The sequence below is a fragment of the Homo sapiens genome, chromosome 3 (genome assembly GCF_000001405.40).
Source record: "Homo sapiens chromosome 3, GRCh38.p14 Primary Assembly".
Lineage (NCBI taxonomy): Eukaryota > Metazoa > Chordata > Mammalia > Primates > Hominidae > Homo > Homo sapiens.
In genome coordinates this window covers 128114640-128137731 of record NC_000003.12, presented here as the reverse complement: position 1 = coordinate 128137731, position 23092 = coordinate 128114640, and the positions used below count along the sequence as shown (strand labels likewise).

Sequence of the window (23092 nt, the reverse complement as noted above, 5' to 3'; positions counted from 1 at the left end):
GATACGTCTTTGCCTGATTTGGGTATCAGGGTAACACTGACCTCATAAAATAAGTTTGGAAGTATTCCCTCCTCTATTTTTTGGGATAGTTTGAGGAGGATTGATATTAGTTCTTCTTTAAATGTTTGGTAAAATTCAGCACTAAAGCCATTGGGTCTCAGGTCTTTCTTTGCTGGGAGACTTTTTATTACAGCTTTGATCTTGTTACTTGTTATTGGTCTATTCAGGTTTTGGATTCCTTCATGGTTCAATCTTGGCAGGTTGTATATGTCAAGAACTTATCTATTCTTCTAGGTTTTCCAATTTATTGACATATAGTTGTTCATAGTAGTTGCTCACGATCCTTTGAATTTCTGTGGCATCAGTTGTAATGTCTCCCTTTTCATCTGTGATTTCATTCATTTGGGTCTTCTCTGTTTTTTTCTTAGTCTGACTAAAGATTTGTTGATATTATCTTTTCAAATAACCAACTCTTCATTTCATTGCTTTTTTGTATTTTTATTTCAATTTTATTTAATTCTGCTCTGATCTTCTTTTCTTTTACTAATTTTAGATTTGGTTTGTTCTTGCTTTTCTAGTTATTTAAGATGCACCAGTAAGTTATTTATTTAAAGTGTTTCAATTTTTTTTCATGTAGGCACTTATTGTTTTGTGGCCTAACGTGGTCTATCCTTAAGAATGATCCATGTGCTGAGGAGAATAATGTGTATTCTGCAGCCGTTGGAAGAAATGTTCTGTAAATATCTATTAAGTCCATTTGGTCTATAGCAGATTAAGTCCCATGTTTCTTTGTTCATGATCTTTAGGTCTAATACTATTTGCTTTCTATATGTGGTGATCGAATGTTGGATGCATATATATTTACAATTGTTATATCCTCTTGCTGAATTGGTCCCTTTATCATTATATAATGATCTTCTTTGTCTCCTTATATAGTTTTTGTCTTGAAATCTATTTTTTCTGCTGTAAGTATAGCTACTCCTGCTCTTTTTTGGTTTTCATTTGCATGGAACATTTTTTCCATCCCTTTATTTTCCATCTGTGTGTGTCTTTATAGGTGAAATATGTTTCTTATAGGCAATAGATCATTGTTTTTTTTTTTTTTTTTGACAGGGTCTCACTCTGTCACCCAGGCTGGAGTACAGTGGCATGATTATTGCTCACTGCAGCCTTGACCTTCCAGGGTCAAGTGTTCCTCCCACCTGAGCCTCCCAAGTGACTGGGACTACAGGTGCATGCCACCATGCCCGGCAAATTTTTGTATTTTTTGTAGAGATGGGGTTTCACCATGTTGCGCAGGCTAGTCTCAAACTCCTGGGCTCACCACCCACATTGGCTTCCTAAAGTGCTGGGATTACAGGCATGAGCCACCACACCTGGCAGGTCTTGTTTTTTCAATCCATTCAGCTACTCTGTGTCTTTTTATTGGAAAGTTTAGTCCATTTACATTCACTATTATTACTGATAAGTAAGGGCTCACTACGGTCATTTTGGTTTTTTTTTTCTGATTATTTGTGTCTTCTCTTCCTTCCTTTTTTCCTTCCTTCCTGTTTTCCTTTTTGTGATGGTGATTTTCTCTGGTGGTATCTTTAAATTTCTTGCTTTCTATTTTTTGTGCATGCGTTGTAGGTTTTTTAATTTGTGGTTACCATGAGGCTTGCAAATAACATCTGCATAGTTTATTTTCAACTAATGACAACTTAACACTAATTGCCAAAAAAAAGAACAAAGAGAAAACTAATTAAAAATTCTACAGTTTAACTTCATCCCCCTGCTTTTTAACTTTTTGTTGTTTCTATGATATATATCTTATTATACTGTCATGTCTTGAAAAGTTATTGTAGTTATTATTTTTGATAAGTTCATCTTTTATTCTTTCTTCTTAAGATACGAATAGTTTACACACCACAATTACAGTGCTACACTACTCTGTGGTTGTCTGTGTACGTACTATTACCAATGAGTTTTGCACCTTCAGGTGATTTCTTATTGCTCATTAACATCCTTTTCTTTCAGACTGAAGAATTCACTTTAGCATTTCTTGTAGGACAAGTCTGGTGTTGATTAAATCCCTCAGCCCTTGTTTGTCTAAGAAAGTCTTTATTTCTCTTTTATGTTTGAAGTATATTTTTGCTGGGTATGCTATCCTAGTATAAAATATTTTTTCTTCAGCAGTTTATTTATTTATTTACTTATTTTGAGATGGAGTCTTGCTCTGTAGCCCAGGCTGGAGTGCAATGGCACAATCTTGGCTTACTACAACTTCCGCCTCCTGGGTTCAAGCGATTCTCCTGCTTCAGCCTCCTAAGTAGCTGGGACTACAGGTGCATGCCGCCACACCTGGCTAATTTTTGTTCTTTTAATAGATATGAGGTTTCACCCTATTTGCCAGGCTGGTCTCGAACTCCTGACATCAGGTGATCCACCCGCCTCGGCCTCCCAAAGTGCTGGGATTACAGGCATGAGCCACCATGCCCAGCCTTCCTTTAGCACTTTCAATATGTCATGCCACTCTTTCCAGGCCTGTAAGGTTCCCACTGAGAAGTCTGCTGCCAGATATATTGGAGCTCCTTTGTATGTTATTTGTTTCTTTTCTCTTGCTGCTTTTAGGAGTCTTTCCTTATTCTTGACCTTTGGAAGTTTGATTATTAAATGTCTAGATATAGTCTTATTTGGGTTATATCTGGTGTTCTATAACCTTCTTATACTTGAATATTAATTTTTTTTCCTCTAGGTTTGGAAAGTTCTGTTTATTATCCCTTTGAATAAACTGTCTACCCTGATCTTTCTTTCTACTTTCTTTTAAGGCCAATAACTCTTAGATTTACCCTTTTGAGGCTATTTGCTAGATTTAGTAGACATGCTTCATTCTTTTTTTTAAATTTTTCCCCTCTTTGCATTTTATTTTCCTTTTCATCTTCCTCTTCTTTTTTTTTTTAGACAAAGTTTCTCACCCAGGCTGGAGTGCGGTGGTGCAATCACAGCTCACTGCTGCCTTGACCTCCCAGGCTCAATTGATTCTCTCACTTCAGCCTCCCAAGTAGCTGGGACTACAGACATGTGCCACCACACCCAGCTCATTTATTGTTATTTTTATTTTTATTTTTTGTAGAGATGGGGTTTCACCATGTTGCCCAGGCTGGTCTCGAACTTCTGGCTTCACTTGGTCTGCCACCCTTGGCCTCCCAAAGTGCTGGGATTACAGGCATGAGCCACCATGCCTGGCCACCTCTGTGTATTTTCAAATAGCCTGTCTTTTTTTTTTTTTTTTTTGACAGTTTCACTCTTGTTGCCCAGGCTGGAGTGCAGTGGCATGATCTCTGCTTACTGCAACCTCTGCCTCCCAGGTTCAGGTGATTCTCCTGCCTCAGCCTCCTGAGTAGCTGGATTACAGGCGCCTACCACCGCGCCCAGGTAACATTTGTATTTTTAGTAGAGAAGGGGTTTCACTTTGTTGGCCAGGCTGGTCTCAAACTCCTGACCTCAAGTGATCTGCCTACCTCGGCCTCCCAAAGTGCTGGGATTACAGACATAAGCCACTACGCCTGGCCAAATAGCTTGTCTTCAAGCTCACTAATGCTTCTGCTTGATCAGTTCTGCTGTGGACTGATGCATGCTTTGTATATCAACTGAATTTTTCAGCTCCAGAAGTTCTGCTTGATTATTTTTAATTATTTCAATCTCTTTGTTAAATTTATCTGATAGGATTCTGAATTCCTTCTCTGCATTATCTTGAATTTCGTTGCGCTTCCTCAAAAGAGCTATTTTGAATTGTCTGTCTAAAAGGTCACATATCTGTCACTTCAGGATTGATCACTGGTGCCTTATTTCATTTGTTTGGTGAGGTCATGTTTTCACGGATAGCCTTGATGATGTGGATATTTGTCAATATCTGGGCATTGAAGAGTTAGGTATTTATTACAGTCTTTGCAGTCTGAGCTTGTTTGTACCCATCCTTCTTGGGAAGCCTTGCCAAGCATTCAAAGGGAATTGAGTGTTGTAATCTGTCTTTGGTCACTGCAGCTGTATCTGCACTAGGGGGCACCCCAAGCCCAATAAAGCTGTGACTTTCAGCTGCATAGAGGTGCTACCTTGGTGGTCTTGGGTAAGATCTGGGAGAATTCCCTGGATTACCAGACAGAGACTCTTGTTCTCTTCCCGTACTTTCCCAGGAACAAACAGAGTCTCTCTGATAAGCTGTCTGAAGCTGGGGGAGGGATGATACAAGCACCTCTGTAGCAACACCACTGGGACTTTGTTGGGTCAGACCCAAACCCAGCCCAATACTGTGTCTCACCCAAGGGCCATGGTGACCACTGCCTGGCTACTGCCAATGTTCACTTAAGGCCTGAAAGCTCTAAAATCAGCATCTGGTGAATCTAGCCAGGCTTATGTCCTTCCCTCAGAGTGACAAGCTCATCCCCCAGCCCACGGCAGGTCCAGAAATGCCATCCAGGAGCTGGGGCCTGGAGTCAGAAACCTTAGGAATCCATTTGGTGCTCTAGTCTACTGTAGCCGAGCTGGTGCCCAAACCGCAATACAAAGTCCTTTCCACTCTTCCCTCCCTTTTCCTCATGCAGAAGAACTCTCCCTGTGGTCACAACCAACCCAGGCCTATAGCAAGAACTGCCTGGCTACCGCTGATGCTCACTCAAGATCCAAGGGCTCTCTCTTCAAGTTGTGTTGAATACTGCTGGGCCTGGGTCTCTCCCTTCAGGGCAGTAGGCTCCCCTCTGGCCCAAGGCAAGTCCAAAAATGTCACCCAGGAGCTAAGGCCTGGAATTGGGAAACCCAAAAGACCACTCGGTGCTCTACCCCACTGTGGCTGAGGTGGTGTCCAAGTTGCAAGACAAAGTCCCTTTTATTCTTTCCTTTCTTCAAACAGAAAGGGTTTCTTTCTGTGGCCATCACAACTGGGAATGTGCTGGTTCACCTGAAGCCAGCATGGCACTGGGTCTCACCCAAGGCTCGTGGTAAATACTGTCTGGCTACCACTGATGTTTATTCAAGGCCCATGCACTCTACTCAGCAGATGATGAATCCTGCCAAGTCTGGGTTTTCCTCCTTCAAGACGCTGCATTCTCTTTTGTCCCAGGGTGTGTCTAGAAATGTCGTCTGGGAGCTAGAGCCTGAAATAAGGGCCTCAGGACTCTACCTGCTGCCCCATTCTACTGTGGCTAAGCTAGTATCCAAGTTGCAAGACAAAGTCCCCTTTACTCTCCTCTCTGCTCTCCTCAAGCAGAAGGAAGGAGTCTCTCCGGGAGCTGCAAGCTGCGCTGCCTGGCTTTGGGGGAGTGGTGATGCAAGCACTCCCTTGATTGCCCTGGGTATTGTCTTGCTAGGTCACATGCACCCCACGTTCACTGGCTCCAAGCCTAGCAGAGCACCAAGATTTGCCCAGGAATTGCAGTCCTTGTGGCCTACACTGCCTTCCAAGTTTCTGTAGAACCCCAGAGCACTTTAGCCTGCGGTGATGAGGCTGGCCGGAACTCAGTTTCTGACCACTGGGATGGATGATTCCCCTCTGGCTAGGGCTTGTCTAAATGCTCTCTCCGTGGGTGCTGGTTGAATTCTGCCTTGTGTTGCTTTCTGCTGTGACAGGGCAGCACTGAGTTCCAGTACAAAGTCCCATAATCTCTCTGCCAAGTACATAGATTCTCTCTCTGTGCCATGAGGCCTCAGGCAGGGGATGAGAGAGGGGTAGTGCAGGTGAGTCAAGACTGTCTTTCCTACTCTCTTTAGTGCCTCTTTCTTTGATGTGATGTTAAAACCAGGGACTGTGACTGCTCACCTGATTTTTGGTTCTTATGAAGGTGCCTTCTTGTGTGGATAGTTTTTCAATTTGGTTTCCTGCTGGCGGCAGGTGGGGGCAATTTCTGGAGGGTGCATTTGGCCATCTTGCTCCGCCTCCCTCTCATAGGCAACTCCTAGTTGTTTTTTGGATCATGAAAGTGTATTGGATTTTGTCAAATTTTTTTTCTGAATCAGTTGAGTTGATCATGTGGGGCTTTTCCCCTTCACTCTATTAATATGGTATATTACACTGATTTTTGTATGTTAAACCACCTTTGTATTCCTAGAATAAATCCCACTGGTCATGGTGATAATCCTTTAACACACTGCTAAATTGGGTTTGCTAGAATTTTGTTGAGAATTGTTGCATCTATATTCATACAGGATCTTGATCTGTTTTTTTTTGTTGTTGTTGTTGGTTTGTTTTACAGTGTTTGTTTGTTTGTTTTGTTTTGTTTTTTGAGATGGAGTCTCGCTCTGTGACCCAGGCTGGAGTGCAGTGACGTGATCTTGGCTCACTGCAACCACCACCTCCCAGGTTCAAGTGATTCTCTGCCTCAGCCTCCCAAGTAACTGGGATTACAGGCACATGCCACCACACCCAGATAGTTTTTGTATTTTTAGTAGAGATGGGGTCTTGAACTCCTGATCTCAGGTGATCTGCCCTCCTTGGCCTCCCAAAGTGCTGGGATTACAGGTATGAACCACCATGCCCAGCCTGTTTTATAATGTTTTTATCTGGCTTTGTTATCAGGGCAGCACTGGCCTCATAGAATGCATTAGAAAGTGTTCTCTTTAGTTTTTTGGAAGAGTTTGGGAAGGACTGGTGTCTCACTTTTTCACCCAAGCTAAAGTGCAGTGGTGTGATCAAAGCTCACTACAGCCTCAAACTCCTGGGCCTGAGTGATCCTACCGCCTCAGCCTCCCAAGTAGCTAAGACTACAGGTGGGCACAATCATGCCTGGCAAATAAAATTGAAAAAAAATAAAGGCCGGGCAGGGTGGCTCACGCCTGTAATCCCAGCACTTTGGGAGGCCGAGGTGGGCAGATCACGACGTCAGGAGATCGAGACCATCCTGGATAACACGGTGAAACCCGGTCTCTACTAAAAATACAAAAAAATAGCCAGGCGTGGTGGCAGGCGCATGTAGTCCCAGCTACTCGGGAGGCTGAGGCAGGAGAATGGCATGAACTCGAGAGGTGGAGTTTGCAGTGAGCCGAGATCGCGCCACTGCACTCCAGCCTGGGGGACAGAGTAAGACTCCGTCTCAAAAATAAATAAATAAATAAATAAATAAATAAATAAATACATAAATAAATAAAATTTTTTTTTTTTTTTTTTTGTAGAGATGGGGTCTTGCTATTTCCCAACCTGGTCTTGAACTCCTGACCTCAAACAATCCTCCCACATCGGCCTCCCAAAGTGCTGAGGTTACAGGCATGAGCCATTGCTCCTGGCCTGGTGTTAGTTCTTTAAATGTTTGGTAGAAACCAGTAGTTAAGCCATTCGGCTCTAGGCTTTTCTTTATAGGGAGACTTTTGGTTACTGACTCAGTCTCCTTACTTGATTACAGTTAAGATTTTCTACTTTTTCTTGAGTCAGTTTTGGTAGTCTGTTCACAGTTTTTTTCCACAAATTTGTCTATTTCATCCAGATTATCCAATTTGTTTATAATTATTTACAGTATTCGCTTATATTCCTTTTATTTCTGTATAGTAAATAGTAATGTTCCTGCTGTAATTTCTGATTTTATCATTAGTCTTCTCTCTTGTTTTCTTAGTCAATCTAGCTAAAGATTTGTCAATTTTGTTATTCTTTTCAAAGAACCAACTTTTAGTTTTTTTATTTTCTCTGTTTTTCTGTTTCTCTATTTTGTCTCCATTTTAATCTTTTTAAAAATTTTTGGTAAAAGATACGTAGCATAAACGATACCATTTTAACCATTTTATGTGTACAGTTAGGCGGCTTTAGGTACATTCACATTGTTGTGCAACCATCACTATCATCCATCTCCAGAACTTTTTCATCTTCCCAGATGGAAACCCTGCACCAATTGAATTAGCTCTCTATTTTTCCTTTCCCCAGCCCCTGGCAACCACCATTGTACTTTTTGTCTTTATGAATTTAACTACTTCCTCATAGTGGAGCCATACTGTACTTGTCTTTTTGTGACTGGCTTATTTTACCTAGCATGATGGCTCAATATTCATCTATATTGTAACATGTCAGAATTTTCTTCTTTTTTAGGGCTTAATAATATTCTATTATATGTATATACCATCTTTTAAAAATCCATTATCTGTCAATGGATGCTTATATTGCTTCTGCCTCTTTACTACTGGGAATACTGCTATTCTCTAATCTTTATTGTTTCTTTTCTTTTGCTAGTTTTGGATTTAGCTTGTTCTTTTGTTGTTGTTGTTGTTGTTTTTCCTGGTCCCTGTAGGTGTACAGTTAGGTTATGAATTTGAGATCTTTCTTCTTTTTTATTATAGCTGTTCATAGCTATAAACTTCTCTCTTAACACTGCTTTTGCTGCATCCCATAAGTTTCGGTACGTTGTTCTTTTGTTGTCATTCATTTCAAAGTATTTTCTGATTTCCCTTATGATTTCTTCTTGACCTGTTAATTGTTTAAGAATGTATGGTTTAATTTCCACATATTTGTGATTTTTCCTTCTGTTATTGATTTCAAGTTTTATTCCATTGTGATTGGAAAAGTATTATGTATTATTTCAATTTTTAACATTTATTAAGACTCATTTTGTGGCACCCTGGACTTTTGAGATAGCAGATTCATGGGAGCAGCAAGAGTAAAAGCTACATTGCACTGGGCTGAAGCCTGGGAAGGGAAAGGGGGGCACTTGGCAAGATGAGAACTGTGCTAGGAAAGAAATGCAAGTGATGACATTAGGAGGGGGAGGAGGGAGAAAGATTGCACATATCCTGTGGGAATGATCAGGGAGGATAGATGGAAATACAAGAAAAGGAAGGTAATGGGTGGAGCAAGGCCTTTGAGAGATGGAATGGGGCCCAGGTTGCTAACCTGAGACCCAGATAGTAAAGATGCCTTGGCTAGAAGGAAGGTCATACCTGCCTTTGAGTCGCATACAAGGAGAATCCAGCAGTGCTTGGCACATAGTAGAAGCTTAGGGTAGCGCCTGAGAGTTGTTTCCCAATCTATCTTCTCCTCTCTTTACATAGGAATTGAATTTTTAACTGGGCACATATCCATCCAGTGTAAGACTACATTTCTCAGCCTCCTTTGCAGCTAGTTCTAGCTATTTGATTAAGTGCTGGCCCCTGGGATATGAGTAGAAATGATGGTGCAACTTCAATATCAAGGTTAAAGGGAAGAAGTATGTCCTCTTCTTCCCCTTTTTTCCTTCTAGTTGGTGCAAATTCAGCCCTTTTGGGAGGAGTTTGAGCAGCTATCTTGGACCACACGATAGACAATGTGTGTGGGGAGTGGCAGAGCCACATCATAGAAGGACCATAGGCCCTTACTGATTGTAAAGCCAGCCCACCTCCTGGCATGCCTGCTTGGACTTTCTGTGAGATAAAGTGACTTCTCTCTTGTTTGATCCACTGTTATTTTAGATCTCTCTGTTACTGCAGCTGAACTAATCTTTTAACTAATGTAACATTTACTGCTGGGTGCTATGGCTAATGCCTGTAATCCCAGCATTTTGGGAGGTCAAGGCAGGAGGATTGCTTGAGTTCAGGAATTCAAGACCAGCTTAGCCAACACAGCAAGACCCCTGTCTTTACAAAAAAATAGAAAAAATTAGCTGGGTGTGGTGGCGCATGCCCAGCTACTCGGGAGGCTGAGATGGGAGGATCACTTGAAGCCCCCCAAAAAACTAACACAACGTTTATGTATTTATGTATGTATGTATGTATGTATGTATGTATGTATGTATGTATGTATTTATTATTTTTGAGACAGGGTCTCACTCTGTCGCCCAGGCTGGAGTGCAGTGGCGCAATCTCGGCTCACTGCAACCTCTGCCTTCTGGGTTCAAGCAATTCTTCTGCCTCAGCCTCCCGAGTAGCTGGGACTACAGGTGTGTGCTGCCATGCCTGGCTAATTTTTGTATTTTTAGTAGAGATGGGGTTTCACCATGTTGGCCAGGCTGGTCTCGAACTCCTGACCTCAAGTGATCTGCCCACCTCGGCCTCCCAAAGTGTTGGGATTACAGGCGTGAGCCACTGCACCTGGCCAAATAACAACATTTAATCATTACTTGGGTTGCTCCAGTTGAGGCTGGAGACCATGACTGTGCAGTGGTTACAGGGCACCACTGGGTAGTTGCATCCTGCCACACACAGTAGCCCTCAGGAGGCAGTGAAGAAGGCAGAGGGAGGCTTGACCTGGGCTTGTGGGTTCAAAGTTCAGGTGTGATAGAAGTCAAGGTAAGGAGGGAGCAGAAGGGTCAGGAAACAAGTGATTGAGATAATCAAGCTTGGGCTGGAGAAAGAGAGGTCAAAGGCCTGGAGGTGAAAGAGCAAAGGTCGTGGGAGTAAGGGAATGAGAGGGTCGTGGGAGTGAGGGAATGAGAGCTGGCAGGTCTAGGGCTGTCACAGCACAATTCTGGAATGTAGTAGTCCACACAATTACTTACATATGTGTCACTACATTGATATGGATTTTCAGTACCCACAGATAGAAATCTAACTCAAACATCTTAAGCCCCAAAGTAAATGCCATGTTACACTGCAAGTAAGGCGAGGATGATGCAGGGATATAAAGGATTTCATCGGGAATCTCTTTCTGTCAGCTTTCCTTTCCTCTGTCTTGGCTTCATTCTCAGGTAGAGTCTCCCCATGAAGTAACAAAGAAGACCAGCCTGCAGATCCATTACCTACATTTTCTCTCCTGATATGTCCAGTAAATTGCCAGGACTGACTGTCATTGAACTAGCTGCTCACATTTCTGAGCCAATTACAGTGTCTGAGAGGATGGGATACTGATAGGTCAGGCCAGGGCCACGTGTTTACCACTGAAACAAACATGGGGTGTGGGGTCAGTTCGCCCAAACTACGCAGACTCAAAGTGGGAGAACGGTCATTTCCTGAAGGAAAACGAGAGTGGTGGTGCGCAGAAGTGGGATGGACGCTGGTCAGGAATAACCCTGTCCACTGCAGCAGGCCTCACTTGCTGTTTATTGGACTTGTGTAGCTTGGATACTGGCCTGCCACATTGTTTTCTGTTGAAATGAAAGAAATTGTCTGACTTTGCAGCCAGGTCCAGCATCTTTACACACTGGATCTGTGTCAGGCATTTGCTCAATTTGTGACCTTGGACAAACCCTGTCCCTTCCTGGGGCCTCAGTTCCGTCACATGTAAAATGAGAATGCTAGGCCAGATCAATGACCTTTTTTTTTTTTTTTGAGATGAGTCTTGCTCTGTTGCCCAGGTTGGAGTGCAATGGCACGATCTCGGCTCACTGCAACCTCCACCTCCTGAGTTCAAGCGATTCTCGTGCCTCAGCCTCCTGAGTAGCTGGGGTTACAGGCGCCTGCCATCACGCCCAGGTAATTTTTGTATTTTTAGTAGAGATGGGGTTTTGCCATATTGGCCGGGCTGGTTTCGAACTCCTGACCTCAGGTGATCCACCTGCCTCGGCCTCCCAGAGTGCTGGGATTACAGGCGTGTACCACCGCCCCTGGCCCATCAGTGATGTTTGAACTGTTATTTAGCACACACACACACACACACACACACACACACACAAAGGAACAACTCTGGTGGAAGTGGGGGCATGGAGCTGGTATCCTACACTCTCAGCATTCCCTGTCCCCACCCGTACTGGCCACAAAAGGATTCCACAACTGCTGGGAATGTGGTTTGAAAACCACTAGACCAAGTAATCCAGGGGATATTCCTCTGTGCTCTAAAATCCTGATTCTCCCTTTCTCTTTTTGGACTAGAAGGAAATCCTTCTTTCTGTGCCAAAAGATACAAAGACTAGGGCTGAAATAATAAGTGTAAAAAAAGTCTTTTTCCTTAATTGGACAATACACAAAGAAGTCAGTCCCATAGAATGCCTCACTTTGACTACTAGTTGGTGGAAAAGTTTCCTTCTCCATATAGAGAAAGGAATTGCTTCTTTTCTAAGAGTAATGACCAGGAACAAGTCAATGAGGGGCTAAGCAACTTTGTGGGGTGCTGTCTCTAGTGCTGATGAACCACATGCCCTAGTAACAACCTCAGCCTTCCAAGGCCTGGCCTCTGTTCTTTTAGGCCCTGAAAATGCCAAAAGATTCCATTCACTGATGGAAATCATTACCAAGTCCTATAAAAGCCAACGTGTAAAATACATGCAGCAAAACTGATGAATTCAAGTGTATGTGTTTGTGTGTGGTCTAGAACCTTAATTGAATTCATGAGAAGCCTTAATTGTGAGCTGTGTTGTAGGCTGTGTGCCAGGCACTTAGGTTAAAATGGTAAACAATCAAATGTGGTCTACACCCTCAAAAGGCCTGCAGTTTACTGGGAGAGAAAAACATTGACCCAGTAATTATGCAAATCATTAGAAACCTAGATTCAAAAGAAAAGAAAAAAGTATATAGAAACCTAGATTCAAATGTTAGAATCAAGATGTACAAGGAGGTGTGAGAGGCCGGGCGCGGTGGCTCACGCTTGTAATCCCAGCACTTTGGGAGGCCGAGGCGGGCGGATCACGAGGTCAGGAGATTGAGACCATTCTGGCTAACACGGTGAAACCCCGTCTCTACTAAAAATACAAAAAAATTAGCCGGGCGTGATGGTGGGCGCCTGTAGTCCCAGCTACTCGGGAGGCTGAGGCAGGAGAATGGCGTGAACCCGGGAGGCGGAGCTTGCAGTGAGCCGAGATTGCGCCACTGCACTCCCGCCTGGGCCACAAAGCAAGACTCCGTCTCAAAAAAAAAAAAAAAAAAAAAAAAAAAGGCGGTGTGAGACTGTGGAACTACTGTAATTGGATTTGATTTCAGGTCTGTCTCAATTCTAACATAAACTCTCCTGCACTCTGGGCAAGTCCTTCCCTTCCTCTGGATGTTAGTATCCTCTTCTGTAAAAATGGTGTCATACCATTTGCTTCTGAGGAAATCTCTCCTATTTGTTGGAATTCAGCCAAGGCAACATCACCTTCATGATGCCTTCCCTGGCTCTCCAGGCTGTTCCGGGGGCTTCTGCTCTGGTCTTCTCGCCACCTGGGTGTACCTGTCTCAGCACATCTCACGTTGCAAGTTTTCTAAGCAAGAAGTAAACGCATCAAGACTTTTATCCCTGTATCCCCAGTGCATTGTGGTGTCTGGCTCGTGTTTGTTGAACGGATGGATGGATGGATGGCAAGTACAATTGTGGTGCAGGTTGTGCTAATATCATTATGAAACCTGAAGGGACAATTTGCTGGCTGATTGTCTCAGCTGGAGTCATGGGACGTGATGAGCATTATTATATAGGTTTTGAAGCCTGAAGATTTCTAGTTCTGATTATTTGTGATGCTTTCTTGGGCGGATGGGCCTCTTTCCGCTTGTTTGTAGCTGCATGCGTAATTACACTACCTTACAGGGCTGTGGAATTTTGAAAACTGCAAAATGTTATTTACAGTCAACTGAACTCAGCAGGAACCTTATCTCTCGGTGGAGGATGGAGGATAGAAGCAGGGGAAGACAATTCCACGGAAACGGTGGTGGGTTGAGCTGGGCCTTTCCAGGGAGATGCAAAGGTATGGGAGTCAGAAAACATTGGTTAGTAACCAATCCCAGTTTAAGCTCTGAACCTCAGTTCTTCTGTTTCCAAAACGGAAATAATAACTTGAGATTTGCGTAAGAGTATGACGTTCAAATGTGCTAATGGATAGGACGGAAGGATTAGGAGTGGTACCCGGGGGCCACTGCCTCGTGCAACGCCCCAGCCCTAGATCAAATCCGGGGCGTGGTCCCACTGTGCTCCCGACCCCAGCCTCGGCAGGAAGCGCCGGCTACGGGGGAAGCCAACCCGGAGACACAGACGGAAGTGGGTGACCGGAGCTCTAGCAGCAGCCGCGATGGGCGCAGCCGTGAGCCTATGGAGAGCGGAGGTGTTCCCGCTTCCACCAATGGAAAGCCGGTCTAGGCGGGCCTTTGCAAATTGCCCTAGTAACGGCCGCATGGTAACTCAGGCGCCGGGCGCACTGTCCTAGCTGCTGGTTTTCCACGCTGGTTTTAGCTCCCGGCGTCTGCAAAATGAAGATTGAGGAGGTGAAGAGCACTACGAAGACGCAGCGCATCGCCTCCCACAGCCACGTGAAAGGGCTGGGGCTGGACGAGAGCGGCTTGGCCAAGCAGGCGGCCTCAGGGCTTGTGGGCCAGGAGAACGCGCGAGAGGTGTGGCCAGTGGACCAGGGAGTTGGGGGCTGCAAGCAGGGCTGCTGCGGCGAGAGAGCTGCTGAAGTCGGTGGCTCGGGGCGGGATGCGCGCGCCAGGGGTCTCCCGCCATTATTTCCTCAGGGAAGTGAAAATGGGCCAGGGGCTCGGGGAGGGGCGCCGCCCTGGAGCTGGGTGAGGGGCCGCCCCAGGATACCTAGTGACGATCCACTGGGGGCAGTTGACGGTTTGCCAACTCATGGACAAGTGCTGATATAAACCCACACAACCCCGTCCCCTTAATTCGTACCAGGCTCTATTCGCGACACTGGGATACAGCGGGAATTAAGATAGGAGCTTACATTTTAGTGTAGTGAGAGACGATAAACGTGTACACCAATAAATAAAAATAATTATCTTATCTTGGTGGGGTTAGTTACTGCAGGGCTTTGTCGGCCACGGTCAGGAAATTGGATTTTATTGTGAATGCAGTGGCAGGCTATGGGACGGTTTAAAGTAGGGAATTGACTAAACTTTAAAAGCTCATTTTGGTTCCCAGGATCCGGGAACTGAGGGAGAGAAGTGGGAATTATGGAGAAGAGCAATCTGGTTTATCCACCCCTCCAAGCATCCTTTTTGACCATTCCAATTAAATCTCCTTTTTCTAAGTGCTGGTGATGCCAAGTACTTTCACATACATATTATTTTTTGGCAGGTGAAAATATTGAGTTGGGGAGAGGGCACTTCACGTATATGCTTGACACTCGTTTTAGTAACGGTAAACCTGGGGTTTGCACCCACGTGTATTTCTGACTCCCAAATCAGTGCTCTATGATGATACAGCCACCCTCTCTGCCTGCTGTTCTCTAAGGTCACAGCCATGCCCCTTGGCCTTTGGAGAGCCTTAGCTTCTACAAAAATCTTCACTTAATATAAAGTTAAGCTACTGCCTCTTAGCCTGATTTTTCTAAATGGAAAGGCCTCAAAGAAAAGCCTCAGGTTTCCATTTTGAGCATCATCTTTCCAAAAAGGAAGTGTTTGACCCTGGCTTACTAAGCAGCTAGTACTGCAAGTAGCTAACATTGGTTGAGTGCTTTCCATGTGCCAAGCACTGTGCTAAGTAGCTATATGTCCACTGCCTTGTCATATCCAACGTATTAGTTGTCCCTTCCCCGCTTTAGTATGACAGTTTTCAGACACAAAAAAAGTTGAAAGACTTGTAAATACTTGTGTGCCTAAATTCTATAATTAACATTTTACTGTGCTGCTTTATCATATATCTTTTCATCTGTCCCTCTCCCAATCCACTTTTACATTTCAAGGTGAATTGCAGGCATCACTACACTTTACCCCTACACCCTTTAACCTGTGTGCCATTGACTAGTATGAACTCTGTTCAAGTGAGGAAATTCTGGTTCATAGAGGTCAAATAAGTAGGTCCAAGGTTACTCATCTGGTAAGTGCGAGAGCCAGTATTTTAACTCAAGTCTATGTATTTAAACCCAGAGTGCATGCTCTATGCCTAAGTGCATGCTCTATGCCTAAGAGTGATGCTGTATGCCTAAGACCCACCTCAGCTACCAGGTTCTTGTGTGACTCTGGTCACATCAGTAACCTCCCTGAAAAATGAGAGTTAGACTAGGTGATCTTTTAAAGACCCTTCCAATTCTTTTTAAATGTTAGAATTCAAGCTTATCTCACCTGAGAGTAGTTGGAGTGGAAATTGAGGGAGAATGGATGGAAGAGGTCCTGGTCTGTAAATAAACGCACATCTCCAAGGTTTGTAAAGTCTCTTCTACCTTGGGTTTCCCAAAGAGCTTCAGTGCTGGGGATTATGATATGACAGGGTTGTGTGGAAAGACCATAGTAGTTTTTTTTTTTTTTTTTTTTTTTTGAGACGAAGTTTTGCTCTTGTTGCCCAGGCTGGAGTGCAATGGCGCGATCTCGGCTCACTGCAACCTCTGCCTCCTGGGTTCAAGCGATTCTCCTGCCTCAGCCTCGTGAGTAGCTGGGATTACAGGCGCCTACCACCACGCTCGGCTAATTTTTGTATATTTAGTAGAGACAGGGTTTCACCATGTTGACCAGGCTGGTCTTGAACTCCTGACCTCAGGTGATCACCTGCCTCGGCCTCCCGAAGTGCTGGGATTACAGGCATGAGCCAACGCGCCTGGCTAGGTTTTTTATCTATTTAGAAATATAGCATCTGGGCCGGGCGTAGTGGCTCACACCTGTAATCCCAGCACTTTGGGAGGCCAAGGCAAGTGGATCACCTGAGGTCAGGAGTTTGAGACCAGCCTGGCCAACATGACGAAACCCTGTCTCTACTAAAAATACAAAAATTAGCCGGGTGTGGTGGTATGCGCCTGTAGTCTCAGTTATTCGTGAGGCTGAGGCAGGAGAATCACTTGAACCTGGGAGGTGGAGGTTGCAGTGAGCTGAGATCGCGCCATTGCGCTCCAGCCCGGGTGACAGCGAGACTCCATCTGAAAGAGAAAAGAAAAGTAGCATCTGAAGAATATCTTCTAGGTTCTATTAAGGGCAGTGTGCTTTGGTAACTGAAGTGGAAATGGGATGGATATAGCATACCCACACACATTGCTTACATCATTTTTTTTTTTTTTGAGAGGGAGTCTCGCTCTGTCGCCCAGGCTGGAGTGCAGTGGCGCCATCTCGGTTCACTGCAAGCTCCGCCTCCTGGGTTCACGCCATTCTTCTGCCTCAGCCTCCCGAGTAGCAGGTGGATTACATGGTCGGGAGATTGAGACCATCCCGGCTAACATGGTGAAACCCCTTCTCTACTAAAAATACAAGAAATTAGCTAGGCATGGTGGCAGGCGCCTGTAGTCCTTACATATTTTTTGAGGGGCTGCCATAAGTGTGGGACCAAGGTACTTCACAGTCCATGAGGAATAGAGGTAGAAGAGATAAGATGTATTCACAAGACTCTGGCACAGTGTGGTCACTGCCCAGAGAGAAGAGCACCTTTTAGATAGTCACGTATTCAGTTATTAAATCAGTGTAGCAAACCTTATATTATGTAATCCTGAGATATAGATGCTCAGCTAGTGTAACTTTCTCAGTGTTCCCCCCTTATAGTCAAATATTCTAAAATATATGAAGTTCCATAGCCCATTTATGGAATATGTGTGTGTATATATACACACATGTGTACTGCAAATGGTTAATAAAATTCAGAGATTTATAATGTATTTAAAATATACTAACAGATGATAAAGTAATTTAACCTTGAGGATTCAAAACATATTCAATGGATCTAATAGTGCCATAGGTTTAACTTCACATTCAGTATTTACAGTGTTCACTGATGGCCAGCTAGTACTCTATGTCATTGATTCTTACCCCTTAATAGGTTACTCTGGGAATTTGATGAAAGCTATGGATCCTTTCTCTGGAAAAAATGTATATATGAACATAAACACAGTTTCGTTCCCAACTTCAAGAGGTATTTGGGCCCCTGGCGTCTATCCCTGTACCCTGGGCCAAAAATCAGTGTTCCCACTTGTACTCATACTGTGCATTCTTCACACAGTAGTAGCTAGCACCATCTTTTAAAAACAAATCATAGCATGACACATAGTCTTCAAGACCTTTTCAGTGGCTTTGTATTATTTATGTAGAATAAAATCCAAACTTTACCACACACTGTAAGTTCCTGTTCTGCGTTCTGGCCGCTGTCTACCTCTTCAACCTCATCTTCCTGGTCTTTTTCGCTATACTTTGGTCACTGCAACCTTTCTGTCCCTTGGATATGCCAAGCTTGTTTCTGCTTTGGATTTTCTGAATTCGCTGTTTTCTTTGCCTGGAACGCTGACTCCTGCTCCTCCCAGAGGTTCACATATCAAATTAAATGTCATCAGAAAGACACTCCAGGATCACTTTCTAGCCACTCGTTCTCTCTCATCATCCCTTTTTCTTCATAGTAGTGATGAAGATTATGTGTGCAATGTTTGTATGTTTGTATCCCTCCCTAAAACATGAGCTCCACAAGTACAAGGCTTTTCTGCCTTGCCTTCGTTACCCTCGGCACCTAGAACAGTGACTGCAGTGCACTGGCACTCAGTGTTAGTTGGATGAGTGTGTGACTTGTGTAGGCCAGGGACTGAGATTTTTCCCCTTGTGAAACATTTTAATATTGATTTATTATTTCTTTCCATTGTGGTGTGTAGGCATGTGGCGTCATAGTAGAATTAATCAAAAGCAAGAAAATGGCTGGAAGAGCTGTCTTGTTGGCAGGACCTCCTGGAACTGGCAAGGTACTCATTTTCTCTCATTTTTTAAATCTACCCAGGAGAATGATCCTAGTGTCTAAGCCAAATTGAATTCATGTCTTAACTAGTCTTTGTTTAGCTAAATGGGTTATATGTATGTTTTTAAAATTAATATGCAATAATACAATTGGGTATCTAAAATCCCTGCTTCTAAAATTCAAATTATCCTGGCCTACCTCCAGAGAAGAAAGAATGAAGTCCTTGAAGGGGTCTCATTGTCTCTAGAATTTGTCCTTTTTCTCTTTCAAGTCTCCTTTGCTGTGGAAATACATTTCTGTTGGCCTAGGGCTTCATAAAGATCTTCTGAGTGACATCTTACTTGAGGGGACAAAAAAATGAGTCAAGCATTCTTCCAAATGCTAGCTTTACGCATCGCTATTGTGGCTGTGTGGGAGATGAAAAAAAGGAAAACAAGAATTAGAGACATGATTTTTATCTTCAAGGGGCTTACAGTCTCTCCAGGGCAGAAAGAAAGGAAATCATGACAGCACAGGAGGACTCAGTATGAGTGCTCAGCTTTGAGGTATTGACTAATATTAAATGCAGCTGGAATTTAAGGAGGCAGCACTGTGGGCTGGTACAGCTGGAAGGGTTGAGACTTGACATTTTCCCTTCAGAGCTGGGAGAGGATTTGGCTTTGCAGGGAAGATAAGGGCCTTTCAGGCAGAGGACACCGTGTGGCTTCTTGGGATTCGTGAGGGGACTGGCCAGATACTTGAAACTCACCAGAGTTCCCAATTTGAGCTTGCTTATTCTTCAAAAGGGCCGCTTGATGTGGGCAAGTAGGAGCTTGGGGTTGTGTGTGAAAAGAAATGGGCTTTAAATTCCAGCTCTAGTATTGACTTGCTATGAGACCTGAGGCAGGTCCCTTAACTTTTCTAAGCAAAAGCATACTCTACCTATTTCAAGCAATTATTAAACTGATCGATTGTAAGATAATGACTTGCATTATAATTTTGAAATGATTACTGATTGTGTATCTTATATTGGTATCTTACAAGAGGAAGAAGTGCTATATTTGTGAACAGTTTTTTCTCTTCCTATATAAAAGCAAATTGTGAACAGTTTTTTAAACTGTAAAGTGCCATACAGATGTGAGCTTCAGTTACCTCTCTCCAGGCAACATTAGCTTGTCCAGTGCATTTACCATTTATTTGCTTGCTATTCCTTATATCTTAGACCTTCTCTTTCCCTCCATTTTTCTTCTTCCTAAAGTAAATAATTTAGAAATTTCTTCTAGAAGTTTGTTGGTGGGAAAGTCTCTCACGTTTGCATTCATTATGTTGCCCTTGTTTTGAAAAAGAGCTATGTTGGCTATATAATTCAGTTGACAGATATTTTCTTCAGTACTGTTTCACAGTACTTCTCTCTCAATGTTATTTGCTCCTTTGGCTTCTGTTGTTTTTGAGAAGTCTAATTTTGAGGGTTTTGAGTCTTCTTTCTGCATGTTTTTGAGATATTTTTGGGTTTGGTGTTTCACTATTATATGTCAGAGTGGATTAATTTTTGTTTATCATGCTTAATGCTAATTGTGCTTCTTGAATCTGAGTATTATGTCTCTGCTCAATTCTGGAAAATTGTCAGCCTTAGGAGAATCGCTTGAACCTGGGAGGCAGAGGTATCAGTGAGCCAAGATCATGCCATTGCACTCTAGCCTGGGTGACAGAGCAAGACTACGTCTCAAAAAAAAAAAAAACAAAAAAACTGTCAGCGTTAATCTCTTCAGCTATTGCCTTTCCCCATTCTCTTTGTTCTTTCCTTCTGGAACTCCACTGAGATGAGGTTAAGATTGCAGTGGTTTTCAACCTGGGGCAGTTTTGCCCTTGCAGGGGACTTTGACAACGTCTGGAGACATTTTTGGTTCTCACGACTTGGTTGGGGGTGCTACTGGCATCTAGTGGGTGGAGGCCAGGGATGCTACTAAACATCCTGTAGTGCACAGAGCAGTTTCCATAATAAGGAATTATCTGGCCACAAACGTCATGGAGTCAAGCTGAGAAACCCTGGGCTAGAGCTTCTCGTTTTGTCCTCTTTGTCTTTTAGCCTCTCATATTTGTTATCTTTTTGACTCTGCTAAATTATGGGTAATTTCTTTTAGATCTTTGTTCCAGTCTAATTGTCTCTTAAGCTATGATTAAGTGACTGATTAATCCAATCTATTGAATATTTTTTTCCTTTTCATTTTGAAAAGTTTGGAACCTACAAAAAACTTGAAAGAATAGTGTGATGAGCCCCTCTATACCCTATACCTAGATAGCCAGTTATAAATATTTTGTGACATTTGCTTTTTCTCTAGTTTATTTCTGAACCACTTGACAGTAAGTTGTAAGGATGTCTTCCTACATGACCACGGTGCCATCATCAGACCCACCTTGCTAATGCTATTATATTCCCCCAATTTTTGTCAATTAAAAATTAAATTAATTAATTTTTAAAAAATGAGCAGCAGAGCCAGGGAGAGAATGGTGTCTCAGGAACCAAGAAAGGAGAACCTTTAAAGAAAGGAGTAGGTAACCATATCCACTGTGGTAGAGAAATCACAAAGATGAGGGAGCCTGGCAGCTCATCATATGATTCCATGAGCAGTTAACAAATGTGCTTTCAAAGACAACGAAGTTAAATTGTTTTAATGAAAAGAAAATATAGGTGATAGAAATCAGAAAACATCTTTCCAAGTTGTTTCAGTTTTTGGCTTTTTAAAAAACACCAGAATATCAAAATGCAATCAAAGATTACACACTGCATAAATTGTTACAAGTTATAATGTCTTTTTTTTTTTTTTTTGAGATGAAGTCTCGCTCTCTTGCCCAGGGTGGAGTACAGTGGCGTGATCTTGGCTCACTGCAATCTCTGCCTCCCAGGTTCAAACGATTCTCCTGCCTCAGCCTCCTGGGTAGCTGGGATTACAGGTGCCTGGCTAATTTTTGTATTTTTAGTGGAGATGGGGTTTCATCATGTTGGTCAGGCTGGTCTCGAACTCCTGACTTTAGGTGATCCACCTGCCTTGGCTTCCCAAAGTGCTGGGATTACAGGCGTGAGCCACTGTGCCTGGCCCCCAGATGTATTTTGTTATGGCCCACCTTTTTTACTCATGTGTGGCCCTTCAAGAGTCCTCTTTTATGTTTTTTTTTTAATTGTAATGTTTTTGTTTGTTTGTTTGTTTTTTGAGACAGTTTCAGTCTGTCGCCCAGGCTGGAGTGCAGTGGTCTGTTACCCAGGCTGGAGTGCAGTGATCTCGGCTCACTGCAGTCTCTACCTCTTGGGTTCAGGTGGTCCTCCCACCTCAGCCTCCTGAGTAGCTGGGACTACAGGTGCACACCACCACGCTTTGGCTAATTTTTGTAGTTTTCGTAGAGATGGGGTATCGCCATTTTGCCCAGGCTGGTCTTGAACTCCTGGGCTCAAGCAATCCACCTGCCTCGGCCTCCCAAAGTGCTGGGATTGCAGGCTTGAGCCACCGTGCCCAGTCCCGGTTTTATTCAGGGGTTTCTATCTTAAGTGCTATACCTTGCTGAGCTTTCCTGTATCTACAGTCTCTGAACTTTCAAGGCAAATAGTTTACTGCTCTGAATGTTATTATTTATTCAATTCTAGGTGTTTTGTAAGAGGAGAGGTTTTCAGTGGACCCAGTGTGCCATATTGCTAGAAGCATATGTCTTTCATTTTTTTTGGTGATATTGTATTGCTTTCCTCCCAGGAAATATGAGAAGTGCTCAGCACTGTGGTATTACCTTATAAGTTTGTCCACTCCCTTCCAATGTGTATGAAGGAATTTGGTGACTTCTGCTTAATGGTTTGCTGCAGGGTCCCAAAGTTTAGGCAACTTACCTGGGTGACAGGCAGAAATACTGCTTATTTTAGAGATGCAAATGCATGGTTCATATGCATTTCCACTCTTGAGGACCTCACACTGTTAATAATGGGTTTGGGTTTTAGAAGAAGGAGATATTCAGATGAGATTGAAAAATAGAGATTTCTTCAACCTTCTTTTGGCAACAACCTCTTTTTTGTGCCACTTGTCACTCACATGGGGTGAGTACAAAAAAAAATGGCTTTGGAGATTGGGGTTTGCATCCTGGTGCTGCTGCTTGCGGTTTTACCTTGGGTGTGTTGGTAACTTTTGAGTTTGTTTCTTAATCTATAAAATACAAACTAGATGATCAAGGTCATAGGCTAGTTGGGGAGATTCGATGAGGTCTATGCAGCACTCTGTAGTAGGTGTAGGAATAGTAGCCATATCATATACTTTCCCTCTGGAAGTCTTTAAATGGAGGAAACGAGACACACATGAAGCTTTTTTTTTTTAACCAAGTATTTATCATATTTTAATGGAAGTATGTTCATCTCTTCTGTATTAGTTAAAGGGAGGGAGAGTGCCATTGAATTGGATGTGGTCACTGTCTTTGAAGTTCAAAACTGAGGGTAGGGAATTGGGGCTGGCAGAGATACAAGGAAGAGAAAGGAGTAACTGGGAAGGGGTGGTCCTGTCCAGCCTGTGGCCCCACGGGGAGTCTGCTGTTAGAGTGCTGCTCCTCTCATTGTGCCCTTTCATGTTCCAGAGATTTTTTTCCTTTGCTCTTAGAAGAATACCAGTTTTCAAGGTGTCAGCCTTGAGCTCACAAGTGCAGATGCCTAATGAGGCAGGCAACGGGGATGAGGGAAGTGGCTGGGTG

The 23092-nt window shown here is 43.4% G+C and overlaps 1 protein-coding gene across 7 annotated transcripts in view, besides 3 other annotated features; it reads left to right on the top strand.

The window, feature by feature from the left end:
- Nucleotides 1–23092, top strand: part of RUVBL1 (RuvB like AAA ATPase 1) — an 89130-nt gene that overhangs the window by 16183 nt on the left and 49855 nt on the right. For 5 of the 7 annotated variants that reach the window (XM_011513249.4, XM_017007356.3, XM_011513248.3 and 2 more), the window contains exons 1-2: nucleotides 13920–14148; nucleotides 18318–18404. In XM_011513249.4, the coding sequence (XP_011511551.1) occupies nucleotides 14008–14148; nucleotides 18318–18404 (228 nt within the window). In that variant the 5' untranslated portion in view covers nucleotides 13920–14007. Of the gene's footprint in view, nucleotides 1–13919; nucleotides 14149–18317; nucleotides 18405–23092 lie in introns of those variants that run through there. The other 2 variants (NM_001319086.1, XM_017007357.3) reach the window with 1 other exon arrangement.
- Nucleotides 3972–4266: a silencer, noted in NCBI's record as "tiled region #11416; HepG2 Repressive DNase matched - State 12:CtcfO, and K562 Repressive non-DNase unmatched - State 12:CtcfO". NCBI's record gives its function as "represses a minimal TATA promoter and a strong SV40 promoter by Sharpr-MPRA in HepG2 and K562 cells {active_cell/tissue: HepG2 | K562}" and the evidence as "EXISTENCE:reporter gene assay evidence [ECO:0000049][PMID:27701403]".
- Nucleotides 13869–13928: a silencer, noted in NCBI's record as "silent region_14702". NCBI's record gives its function as "represses an Ori minimal core promoter by ATAC-STARR-seq in GM12878 lymphoblastoid cells {active_cell/tissue: GM12878}" and the evidence as "EXISTENCE:reporter gene assay evidence [ECO:0000049][PMID:35858748]".
- Nucleotides 14119–14168: an enhancer, noted in NCBI's record as "active region_20476". NCBI's record gives its function as "activates an Ori minimal core promoter by ATAC-STARR-seq in GM12878 lymphoblastoid cells {active_cell/tissue: GM12878}" and the evidence as "EXISTENCE:reporter gene assay evidence [ECO:0000049][PMID:35858748]".